The sequence below is a fragment of the Homo sapiens genome, chromosome 10 (assembly GCF_000001405.40).
Source record: "Homo sapiens chromosome 10, GRCh38.p14 Primary Assembly".
Lineage (NCBI taxonomy): Eukaryota > Metazoa > Chordata > Mammalia > Primates > Hominidae > Homo > Homo sapiens.
This window is the reverse complement of record NC_000010.11, coordinates 90,951,491-90,965,076: the sequence shown is the minus strand read 5'-3', so window position 1 is coordinate 90,965,076 and position 13,586 is coordinate 90,951,491. Positions and strand designations below refer to the sequence as shown.

At 42.4% G+C, this 13,586-nt stretch overlaps 1 long non-coding RNA gene across 1 annotated transcript in view, besides 1 other annotated feature; it reads right to left on the bottom strand.

Annotated features, from left to right (window-relative positions):
• The window catches only part of XLOC_008559 (uncharacterized LOC105378427), a 44,833-nt gene that overhangs the window by 27,056 nt on the left and 4,191 nt on the right, over window positions 1–13,586 (bottom strand). The gene's annotated exons all lie outside the window — the stretch shown is intronic.
• Window positions 4,428–4,487: an enhancer, noted in NCBI's record as "active region_3759". NCBI's record gives its function as "activates an Ori minimal core promoter by ATAC-STARR-seq in GM12878 lymphoblastoid cells {active_cell/tissue: GM12878}" and the evidence as "EXISTENCE:reporter gene assay evidence [ECO:0000049][PMID:35858748]".

Below are 13,586 nucleotides of genomic sequence, written 5' to 3'. Positions count from 1 at the left end.
ACAGAGATAATGAACTATGGAGGTGTAAGTTATCCAAGTCCTTTGGAATTCAAAGAAAGTCCTACTTCTGGCTACAGGATGCCCCTCTCACTTGTCACCACTGACCACAGGGTGCAGTAGAGGCCACCCTGGGGCTGCTTGGGGAGGAGAGATATAAGCAGACTGGAAGCTGGAAAGAGGTTGCTTTTGGGGAGATCCTTCAGATTTAAAGCAAGGCTGCCCCTCTCTCAAGGAGAAGGCCACCAACTAGTTTCTCCCTAGAGGCACTGAAGTGGTGCCCAAGACAACTGCCTTGTAAACTATGGTGGGCAGATGGTCATTTCCATCCCTAGCTGAATGTCTCCTCAGCCTCTTGATATGCTGATCCACCCCAGTGGTAGCTGAGCCGTGGGGAGAGATCAGAGGTAGGATAGGGAGACAAAGAGGGGAAAGAACATCTCCCTCAGGTTCTCATTTCTCTAAAGGCAGAAAAAATCAATTCCTCATGTGCCAAAGTCTCCAGAGGAGAGATAAGGTTGGACAGAGGAAGGAGCTCCAGGGCTTCTGGGTCACCACAGTCAAGGGTGCAGAGAAAAACAAGTCACAAGGCCCCTAGCTGGTGGAGGAAATGGGTTTTTGAAAGGGGCTACTAATGCTTTTTGGGTGTGGAAGGGGCTGATTGGGGCTGAATAACTGGCCAGTGAGGTTCCTTGTGTTTCCAATTTGTCCAACCCCTGGACAAGGAGCATGGATTCAGGAGAGGAGCTTGCCAGAGGGACCACATCTGGAGAGGTTGTCTTGGGGATCTTATCATTTCCCTGTCCCACATCCCAGTACCAGAAAACTAAGTGCAGAGAAGTGAAGGGCAGACCATTCTTCAGCTGCATTTCCCCCTCCATCCCACTGTTCCATCCTAGGCAACCAGAGCCCCCAGAGCAGCCTGAGCTGGGCAGCAGGGTTGGGAGGAAGAGAACTTTGAATTGAACAAGGTGTGGCTGTTTCAAAATGAATAGGTCTAAGTTTTTTGTTGTTGTTGTTTGTTTGTTTGTTTGTTTTGAGACAGAGTCTTGCTCTGTTGCCAGGCTGGAGTGCAATGGTGCGATCTTGGCTCACTGCAACCTCTGCCTCCTGGGTTTGAGCGATTCTCCTGCCTCAGCCTCCCAAATAGCTGGGACTACAGGCATGGACCACCACGCCCAGCTAATTTGTATTTTTAGTAGAGACGGGGTTTCACCATGTTGGCCAGGATGGTCTCGATCTCTTGACCCTGTGATCCGCCCGCCTTGGCCTCCCTAAGTGCTAGGATTACAGGTGTGCGCCACTGCGCCTGGCCAGATCTAAGTTTTAAGACCCTGATAATGCTGTTTGAATAACTAAAAGTGATGAGAAAGTAGAGAATCTAACCATGATGCTCTTATCTCCCTGGAATGGAGGGTTTGAAGGTGCCAACACTGACTGAGTGCTCTTCCTGGGTTTTGTACTATGCTAAGTGTTTTGTACTATGCCAAGTGTTTTGTATGCTGCAGCAGTTATGATGGGTCGTGGATGGATGAGCAAAGAAAAAATAGATTCAAACCCACCATGTGCTTATCTTATGTGCCTGATTTATCTAGCCAAGAATCCAGAAACTTTGAGAAGCAGATAGCACAACAGGGTGGGACGAGGTGCAGTTTTTATATCTGTAGACTTGATCCTGGCCTCCAGAGTCTCTAACAAGTGGTGAACTTCTGGTGACAGCATGCATACAAAGCAAAGTCTGTACAGATCTGAGAAGCTCTTGGCTTGCTCTGCCATCACTTTTTTATACCTGAGGTTGCATTACTATTCTGCAAACACATGCAGTTAAAGTCTATGTGCTTCTATTCACAATAGCAAAAACTTGGAACCAACCCAAATGTCCATCAATGATAAACTGGATTAAGAAAATGTGGCACATATACACCATAGAGTACTGTACAGCCATAAAAAAGGATGAATTCATGTCCTTTGCAGGGACATGGATGAAGCTGGAAACCATCTTTCTCAGCAAACTATCACAAGGACAGAAAACGAAACACCGCATGTTCTCACTCATAGGTGGGAACTGAACAATGAGAACACTTGGACACAGGGTGGGGAACATCATATACTGGGGCCTGTCAGGGGTGGGGGGGCTGGGGGAGGGATAGCATTAGGAGAAATACCTAATGTAAATGACGAGTTGATGGGTGCAGCAAACCAACATGGCACATGTATATACCTATGTAACAAATGTGCACGTTGTGCACCTGTACCCTAGAACTTAAAGTATAATAATAAAAAAGTGCTTATATTTAAGGATATGTTTATAAATATTGGATTCTCCTGGTTCTTGAACTAAACTTGCTGTCAGGCAGACCATGTTCTCATCCATAGGGAAAAATAGAATCATGCCCATGTCTTCCTGATGATTATCTCTGTCTCCGACCCTCCATTTCCCCACATATACATCATCCTTGTAATCCTGTATCCCAAACAGATGTCACCTTATTAGTGCTCACATAAGGCCTGTGGAATAGAACACAACTGGGATTAAAGACATTACCTAAGTCACCCAAAGTTACACAGCCAGTAAGTGGCCAAGCCAAATTTTAAACGCTGGCCTGCCTGACTCTTACCAATACTCATACTGCCTTTTTCAGAAGGAGGCACAGAGCTTTCCCCATCTTCTCCATCTGGTGGCTGGGTCAGGATGGGGGCAGCACATTGGAGAATATTGCATCCCAGGGATGTGGTAAGCTTCAGTCTCCAAAGTCCTAAGACCCTTTAGCTGTGGCCAGCGTGGGTCCTCAGAAGGTTAGCCCCCCTCGACCAAGTGTTTGGGGAGAGACTGGAGCTTTGGGCTACCTTGGCAGCCTCCGCAGAGCATCCTGAGCTGTAGATAGCAAAAGGCCTATCAACTCAAGACACCGCTCTTCATAATCAGAAGAACCATCCATTTTTTTCAGGTCCCTCGTGTTCCAAGCACTATACTGGATACATTATATAAATATTATTTGATCATTATAATATGCTTTGAAATAGATGTTATTATTGTTTATTTTTTTTAGTTAGGGAAACTAAGGCTCAGAAGAGTGAGTTATCTGATAAGTGCCATGGCTGGGATTGGAATTGAGTTATATGTGGTAGATTGCCTGCATCAAGGCCCTGAGTCTTCATTGCTCCCATTGTGGCCAGGGAATTCTGCTCTGCCAGACTTTGGACTCATATGACATATTTGGCTAATGAGCCATTGTTACTCCATTTGCTAACATATGGAATACAAGCCAATTATACTTCTTGCCCTTATACTCATCTTGTTTCTCTGACTTTACCATAAGAATATGCTTGGGTAGCCTAGAGGATGAGACAGACAGAGAACGACCAGGCCAGTCCAGTTGTTCACAGATGAGTGAGAGAGCCCAGCTAAGATCAGCAAGCCATCCAGCTAGCCAACCTGCAGCTGACTACAGATATATGAGCAAGCAGGCCCTTCTGATTCCAGCTCAACATAGTATAACCCGTCAGCCAACCCTATAGGTTCAAAGAAAATATAAAAAGTGTTGTTTAAGCTAGTAAGTTTTGGGGTGTTTTATTAACTGCAATAGCTGTTGGATACAGTATGTCTCCAAACCTGCACACCTGTGTTTTTTCCTCCTCACTATATGAAACGCATAACCTTAAATCCAACACTGTTTCAGAGGGACTTCATTGTCAGGGTAAGAGGTTGTGCTAGGTGACTTCCAAAGTACCCTCAGCGCCAGGATCTGTGATTCTCTGTGCAGCAAGCAAAATCTGTCAGCAGTTTTCCTTCATCATTTTTTTCTCTCTCTCCAGGTAACTTTGGGCTACTTCATGATGGCCCAGATGTCTCTGATCCTGTAGTGTGGTGCCCTAGCCTGGTCAACGCTTGGAGTTTTATAACCCTCCATAGCTTCAGTTTCTTCATCTATAAAATAATCATGGAGCGTCTACTAGGTCTTGCAATTAATCTGGTAAAACCTTTTTCTTCAACAAACACCAATAAAGAGGATCAAAAATAGCTTGCTTTTTTTTCAGGCTGGAGAGTGGCACATATCCACTGTTTTATCTAGGGTTAGTTCCCAGGAATATCTCCTGTTCTCTGTTACAATGAAGTCCAAAGGGCCTTGATCATATTGACATTCCGGAGAGCATCATTCAGTTCCTCATATTGATTGAACTTAATAAGTGGGAAGTGGCAAGTAGTTTGGACACTGTAGTAAAAATACATGTATACCAGAGGGAGGGAGCTACATCCCAAGGAGATTCAGATACTCTCCACATTGGTCTAGTTTTTGGGTCCAACAGTCTGAGTCATGCTGAGAAATCCCATCCAAGGTAAAGGACAAGTTGTACTTTGCTTCTCCTACCACTAAGAACAGGCACAGCACTAAATAGGCTTCCTTGGATTCTGGAGGCAGCATATACCATACTTGGGACTAATTCTCAACACATTTATTGAGTGACTCAGAATGCTTCCAGCTTTCAGTGGGACCAGAGCAAGAGAATCTGCAGCAGATTCAGGCTGTGATGCAGTGAAAAGTGTTCTGTCATTCAGGACATATGACTCATCAGATCAGTAGTGCTAAAGATAGCTATGGCAGATACAAATTCTGTGTGGAGTCTCTGCCAAGGTTCAACAGAAGAGTCACATCACAGACCCAAGGGTTCTGGAGTAAGGCCATGCCATCTATGGCAGAGAGATAGTTACCATTTGCAAAGCAGCATCTGGTGTAGTTCTGGGCCTTAGCAGAGGTGAAGTACCTGAGCATGGGACATAAAATTACAGATCATGAGATGGGTATTATCAGATTCACCACTTCATGAGATCAGGCAATCCATTGTACAATAGAAATGGTACATTTAGACTTGGATCCAAGCAGACCCAAAAGGTACAAATAAGTTTACATGAATAGATTACACAGACCTTCATGTTACCTAGCTCTATTGCACAGATTCCTCGACCTCAGTTCTCACCTATGACCTCATGGAGATTCCCCTGCAATCAACTGACAGAGGAAAGAAAAATCTCCAGCCTGGCATAGAGATGGATATCTGAGTAAGTACAGCTATCACATTTCAGAAATACTCAGAGGTAGTCCCAAAGGACAGTGCAAAAGGAAAATCCTCCCAGTCAGCAAGACTTTCAGCAGTGTAATTGGTCATTCAGTTTAAATAAAGCAAAAAACAGCTTGAGGTACAGACATACACAGAACCTAGAGAAGTGAAAAATGGCTTGGCTGGCTAGTAGGGATCCTGGGAAGAGAAAGATTGAAAGACCAGATAAAAGAAAGTTTGCGAAAGAGTCATGGAAATGGGAGCAACACACCTGTATCTTTGAAGAGGAGGCACTGAACAGGTAGGCAGGATGAGTTGTCCTATGGATCTAAGCCAGCATCTCCTCTCAGCCACCTCAGTACTTGGGCAATGGGCCCATGAGTGGCCATTGTTGTAGGGATGGTGCTATCAATGAGCCCAAGATTATGGCATTCCTCTTGTTATGGTTCTTCCAGCCACTGGCATTCATGAATGCCCTTCCTGACAGCTACAGAGACTGACACTAGGCACTTGCTATGGCACTATTATTGTAATGAAACCAGCCAGCCACAAGGTAGCATTTATTATTGATCACGTGATTACTATATTACTAGAAGGGGAGGTTTGGATCATAATCTTGCAAGACACAGTCTGGAACGCTGTAATCCCAAATGTTGAAATCACGAAAAATCAAAATCCCTAAAGTCTAAAATCCCTGATGCCTAAAATTCTGAAGATCACAATCACAGAATAGTTGCATCATGTTAGAACTATTACCTTGTTGTTGTCTTTATTTGGAAATTAAGTACGGCTTAAGAAGATGTCTATGGGTGCCAAGTTAACAAGGGGCAGATTTGTGGGCTTCATTTTAGGTGTCAACTTGACTGGATTGGAAAATACAGAGAAACCTGGTAAAGCATTATTTCGGGTGTTGCTGTTCAATCACCAGTATTGTTTGCACCAAATTTGTGACCTGTATATGAATGCATGCAGTATGGACTTCCAAGTACCCAAAACAACACAGAAGCATGACACAGAATATTGGACAATTTAATAGGGAACGTTCATGTCGGTGACTCATAGAAAAAGTTCAGAGCCATGCCACGTAGAAAATGAATATGAATGTATTCTCCAAGAAGAGCCATATCCAAAAAGAAAAATAGCAGCTATTCATCATGATGCAAGATTTCAACATATAGTTGATGATCGTGAAAGTTAGCTAGGTCTTATGAATGATCGCCATGCAAATGCCCATAATCTATTCCTGTAATATACTTTTTCATATGTTAAATTTTCTTTTTATGTTGTTTCTTTTCTTTTTTAGCTTTTTTTCACTACTTTAAATTGTGAACATTATTTTTTACAATTTTTTATGCTATGTGTTTCATCTTCGCGTCATTTCTGATATGGGAGGTAGACATTGTGTAGAGATTTTTTGAGAGTTCTAATTTGTCTTACGCATTATTACAAACTTGACCTCATAAAAGTTCATTATCACAACTTTGTGTGTGAGCATTATGTGTATACATAAAAACATTGAAACTTTCTCAATAAATTAAGGGACCTTCTTTTCGTACATCTGCATTTGTGAAAGATGAAATTTCTCGAAACCTCAGCTCTTTGGGTAACCCCATATGCAGTGGTGACCCATGGCGATTTTTGATTGATCTTGTCAAAAGACTTAGGTTGTTCATCACAGTACTTCAGATGACCACAATTATAAAGCTGAGTGCACACAATTACCAACCATAGTGACATTTGTTTATACATTTCCCTTTTTGACCTATTTCTTTACCATACAGTTTACCTACTCATACCTGTTATATCTGTGTGACTGTCATTAGCATACCTGAGTATTTATGCTTGCAAAAATATGTGTGTTATTATTGTCCATTTTATTGCTTAAAGTGGCCCATGAAATGTTCAGATGTGTTTTTATGTGTTTCTTAAATAAATCCCCTTTTAAAAATATAAATAAGTGTATTTTAAATAATTTTAAAAATTAGTTTTTCCAGACCTTTTGGAATTTCAACATTTGGGATTGTGGCGTTCAGGATTACGATTGGCTAGGATATGCTGGATCCCTTCATATCCAATGATTCATCCTCACCAGATTTGATATTTCTCTCTCTGGGTATGGGTTTGCCTTCGCTGCCTGTGGTGCCTCTTCCAGCACCCCCTGCTCCAGGTCTTATAGAATGCCTGCTTTATTGACATGAAATTTACATATTATATTGTATCAGACCAACAGACCTGTTTTACAGTGAAGAGGAGGTGATTTCTGGCATATAACTATGGAATTCATTTGTCCTACTATATACTAAATCACCTGGAAGAAGCCAGAATGGTAGAATGGTGGAATGGTCAATTAAAGGCTCAGCTATGGCATCATATCAAGAAAAACATATCCTGCAGAAGTGGGTTGCATTCCTCTGGAATGCAGTATACACAATGAACCAACAGCTGACATACGATGTTGTATACCCAATAGCTAGAATACATGATTCTGGGAACCAAGAGGGTGGGAGTAGCATTGACCCCTCTCACCATAATTCTCAAGGACTCACTTGTGAATTTGTGCTTCCTATTCCTGCAGTCTTAGGTTGTGATCGGTTCTTTTTTATGAGCAGTAGGAGAAGGATGTTTCCACAAGGGCAATCAGTAAAAGTTCTATTGAATCTGGAGCTACTATTAGCATCTAGTCATGTTTGATTTTTAAAGCCAATGGGCCAAAAGGTGGATTCAGGAATTATTAATATAACTCTTTTCCCGGGTTATTATGAGGAGCTAAGATTAATGTTGTATAGTCAGAGCATCTGGAATCAGAGGTATTTCTTGGTGTTTCCATGCTCAGTGATAACCATAAATGGGCAATTGTAGGAATCATGATCCAACAAGGAAAAACTAACCATGGGCTCCAATCCCTCAGAGTGAAAGTCAGGTCACCCCACCAGACAAGCATCCTATACCTACTAAAGTGAAGCCAAAGGTGAGAAAAATATGGAAAGGATAGTAGAGGAAGAAGACGATAAATACCAAATATGGCCTAGGAGCAGTGGCTGCCACAGAGGCTCCAGCTTGTTCCATCAATCCTCCTGAATTGAGTATTTAATAGATTTTGAGACCACACACACAGCACCTTGAAGGCTCTCTGATGCACTAGATTTAAAACAGGGCAAGGATGGATCCAAGCAATGTGAAGGGACCAATGGATGTTGGTCCAGACTTGTTCCTTGCTTCATGTCCTCTTAGTCCACTTTTTACTCAGGTCATTGCTGCTACAACATGCAGGTATAACCTGGAAACACCGTTCTCTGTCACTGTACTCGTTTCTGATGGCTGCTATAGCAAATTACCACAAAACATGGTAGCTTAAAACAACATAAAACTTTTCCCTTACAGTTCTGGGTGCCAGAAATTCAAACTAAGTCTTACAGGGCTAATCGAGGTGTTGGCACAGTCATGTTCCCTCTGGAGGCTCAAGGGGAGAATCTCCTTCCTCGCCTTTTCTGGTTCTTGACATACATTCCTTGGCTCATGACCCCTTCTTCCATCCTCAAAGCCAGTGGTGTAGCACCTTGTTTCTCTGAATCTGGTTTCATCACATGGCCTTCTTTTTCAATGTGTAGTCAAATACCCCTTTTATAAGGACATGTGGGATTGCACTTAGGGATCACCCAGACAATCAAGGACAATCTCTTCATTTCAAAGTGTTTAACTTAATCACTTCTGAAAAGTCCATTATATATATACATATACATGTATATATATGTGTATATATATGTACATATATATATATACATATATATATATATAAAGTAATATTCATAGGTTCCCAAAGTTAGGACCTGGATACCTTTGGGGGCCATGATTAAGCCTACCATAGCAACCATCATATGGGATGCCTAAGGGAACATGATCAGGCATTCTAGTGCACACAAAAAAATATGGAACTTTAGCCGGGCACAGTGGCCTACCCTGTAATCCCAGAACTTTGGAAGGCCAAGGTGAGTAGTTCATTTCAGCTCAGCAGTTCAAGACCAGCCTGGGCAATATGACAAAACCTCATCTCTACTAAATATGCAAAAAAAAAAAAAAAAAAAAAAGCCAGGCGTGGTGGTGCGCACATGTGTTCCTATCACTCAGGAGGTTGAGGTGGGAGGATAGCTTGAGCCCAGGAAGTGGACGTTGCAGTGAGCTGAGACTGTGCCACTGCACCTCCCACCTGGGTGACAGAGTGAGACCCTATCCAAAAAAAAAAAAAAAAAAAAAAAAGGCAGTGGTTGGCAAGATGGCCAAACAGGAATAGCTCTAGTCTGCAGGTCCCAGCAAGATCAATGCAGAAGGCAGGTGATTTCTGCATTTCCAACTAAGGTATCCAGCTCATCTCATTGGGACTGGTTAGACAGTGGGTGCAGCCCACAGAGGGCAAGCTGAAGCAGGGTAGAGCGTTGCCTTGCCCAGGAAGCATAAGGGGTTGGGGAACTCCCTCCTCTAGCCAAGGGAAGCCATGAGGGACTAAGCTGTGAGGAATGGTGCATTCTGGCCCGGATACTACACTTCTCCCACAGTCTTTGCAACCCATATACCAGGAGATTCCCTTGGGTACCTATACCACCAGGGCCCTGGGTTTCAAGCACAAAAACTGGGCAGCCATTTGGGCAGACACTGAGCTAGCTGCAGGAGTTTTTTTCACACCCCAGCAGCACCTGGAACCCCAGCAAGAAGGAACCGTTCACTCCCCTGGAAAGGGGTCTGAAGCCAGGGAGCCAAGTGGTCTAGCTCAGCAGATCCCACCCCAACGGAGACCAGTAAGCTAAGATCCACTGGTTTGAAATTCTCTCTGCCAGCACAGCATCTGAAGTCGACCTGGGATGCTTGAGCTTGGTTGGGGAAGGAGTGCCCACCATTAGTGAGGCTTGAGTAGGCAGGTTTCCCCTCACAGTGTAAACAAAGCTGTCTGGAAGTTTGAACTGGGCAGAGCCCACCACAGCTCAGCAAAGCCACTGAGGCCAGACTGCCTCTCTAGATTCCTCCTCTCTGAGAAGGGCATCTCTGAAAGAAAGGCAGCAGCCCTAGTCAGTGGCTTATAGATCAAACTCCCATCTCCCTGGGGCAGAGCACCTGGGGGAAGGGGCAGCTGTAAGCTCAGCTTTGGCAGAATTAAACGTTCCTGCCTGCTGGCTCTGAAGAGAGCAGCAGATCTCCCAGCATAGCACTTGAACTCTGCTAAGGGACAGACTGCCTCCTCAAGTGGATCCCTGACCCCTGGGCCTCCTGACTGGGAGACACCTCTCAGCAGGGGTTGACAGACATCTCATGCAGGAGAGCTCTGGCTGGCATCTGCTGAGTGCCCTTCTGGGATGAAGCTTCCAGAGAAAGGAGGAGGCAGCAATCTTTGCTCTTCTGCAGCCTCCGTTGGTGATACCCAGACAAACAGGGTCTGGAGTGGACCTCCAGCAAACTTCAGCAGACGTGCAGCAGAGGGGCCTGACTGTTAGAAGGAAAACTAACAAACGGAAAAGAATAGCATCAACATCAATAAAAAGGATGTCCACACAAAAACCCCATTTGAACGTCACCAACATCAAAGACCAAAGGTAGATAAATCCACAAAAATGAGGGAAAATCAGTGCAAAAAGGCTGAAAATTCCAAAAACCAGAACACCTCTTCTCCTTCAAAGGATCACAACTCCTTGCCAGCAAGGGAACAAAACTGGATGGAGAATGAGTTTGATGAATTGACAGAAGTAAGCTTCAGAAAGTGGGTAATAACAAACTCTTCCGAGCTAAAGGAGCATGTTCTAACCCAATGCAAGGAAGCTGAGAACCTTGATAAAAGGTTAGAGGAATTGTTAACTAGACTAACCAGTTTAGAGAAGAACATAAATGACCTGATGGAGCTGAAAAACACAGCACAAGAACTTCCTGAAGCATACACAAGTATCAATAGCTGAATTGATCAAGTGGAAGAAAGGATATCAGAGATTGAAGATCAACATAATGAAATAAAGCATGAAGACAAGCTAGAGAAAAAAGAGTGAAAGGGAACAAAGAAAGCCTCCAAGAAATATGGGACTATGTGAAAAGACCAAATCTACATTTGATTGGTGTACCTGAAAGTGACGAGGAGAATGGAACCAAGTGGGAAAACACTCTTCAGGATATTATCCAGGAGAACTTTCCCAACCTAGCAAGACAGGCCAACATTCAAATTCAGGAAATACAGAGAACACCACAAAGACACTCTGCAAGAAGAGCAACCCCAAGACATATAATCTTCAGATTCACTAAGGTTGAAATGAAGGAAAAAATGTTAAGGGCAGCCAGAGAGAAAGGTCGGGTTACCCACAAAGGGTAGCCCATCAGACTAACAGCAGATCTCTCTGCAGAAACTCTACAAGCCAGAAGAGAGTGAGGGCCAATATTCAACATTCTTGAAAAGAATTTTCAACCCAGAATTTCATATCCAGCCAAACTACACTTCATAAACGAAGGAGAAATAAAATTCTTTACAGACAAGCAAACGCTGAGGGATTTTTTCACCACCAGGCCTGCCTTACAAGAGCTCCTGAAGGAAGCATTAAATATGGAAAGGAAAACCTATTACTAGCCACTGCAAAAACATACCAAATTGTAAAGACCATCAACACTGTGAATAAACCGCATCAATTAATGGGCAAAATAACCAGCTAGCATCATAATGAAAGGATCAAATTCACACATAACATTAACCTTAAATGTAAACGGGCTAAATGCCCCCAATTAAACGACACAGACTGGCAAATTGGATAGAGTCAAGACCCTTCGGTGTGCTGTATTCAGGAGACCCATCTCACGTGCAAAGACACACATACACTCAAAATACAGAGAAGAAGGAATATTTACCAAGCAAATGCAAAGCCAAAAAAAAAAAAAAAAAAAAAAAAACAAGGGGTTGCAATCCTAGTCTCTGATAAAACAGGCTTTAAACCAACAAAGATCAAAAAATACAACAAAGGGCATTACAATGCAACAAGAAGAGCTAACTATCCTAAATATATATGCACCCAATACAGGAGCATCTGGATTCATAAGGCAAGTTCTTAGGGACCTACAAAGGGACTTAGACTCCCACACAATAATATTGGGAGACTTCAACACCCCACTGTCAATATTTGACAGATCAACAAGACAGAAAATTAACAAAGATATTCAAGACTTGAACTCAGCTCTGGACCAAGCAGACCTAATAGACATCTACAGAGCTCTCCACCCAAAATCAACAGAATATACATTCTTCTCAGCACCACATCACACTTATTCTAAAATTGACCACATAATTGGAAGTAAAACACGCCTCAGCAAATGCAAAAGAATGGAAATAATAACAAACAGTCTCTCAGACCACAGTGTAATCCAATTAGAACTCAGGATTAAGAAACCCAGTCAAAACTGCACAACTACATGGAAACTGAACAACCTGCTCCTGAATGACTACTAGGTAAATAACGAAATTAAGGCAGAAATAAATTAGTTTTTTGAAACCAATGAGAACAAAGACACAACGTACCAGAATCTCTGGGACACAGCTAAAGCAGTGTTTAGAGGGAAATTTGTAGCACTAAATGCCCACAGGAGAAAGTGGGAAAGATCTAAAATTGACACTCTAACATCACAATTAAAAGAACTAGATAAGCAAGAGCAAATAAATTCAAAAGCTAGCAGGAAACAAGAAATAACTAAGATCAGAGCAGAACTGAAGGAAACAGAGACACAAAAAACACTTCAAAAATTCAATGAATCCAGGAGCTGGTTTTTTGAAAAGATTAACAAAATAGACCACTAGCCAGACTAATAAGAAAAAAGAGAAGAATCAAATAGACACAATAAAAAATGATAAAGAGGGTATTACTACTGATCCAACAGAAATACAAATTACCATCAGAGAATATTATAAATGCCTCTATGCAAATAAGCTAGAAAATCTAGAAGAAATGGATAAATTTCTAGATACATACACCCTCCTAAGACTAAACCAGGAAGAAGTGGAATCCCTGAATAGACCAATAACAAGTTCTGAAATTGAGGCAGTAATTAATAGCCTACCAACCAAAAAAAGCCCAGGACCAGAGGGACTCACACCCGACTTCTACCAGCAGTACAAAGAGGAGCCGGTATCATTCCTTCTGAAACTATTCCAAATGATAGAAAAAGAAGGGCTCCTCCCTAATTCATTTTATGAGGCCAGCATCATGATACCAAAACCTGGCAGAGACACACACAAAAAAGAACATTTCAGGCCAATATCCCTGATGAACATTGATGCAAAAATCCTCCATAAAATACTGGCAAACTGAATCCAGCAGCAAATCAAAAAGCTTATCCACCACAATCAAGTTGGCTTCATTCCTAGGATGCAAGGCTGGTTCAACATATGCATATCAATAAACATAATCCATCACATAAACAGAACCAATGACAAAAACCACATGATTATTTCAATAGATGCAGAAAAGGCCTTCGATAAAATTCATCACCCCTTCATGCTAACAACTCTCAATAAACTAAGT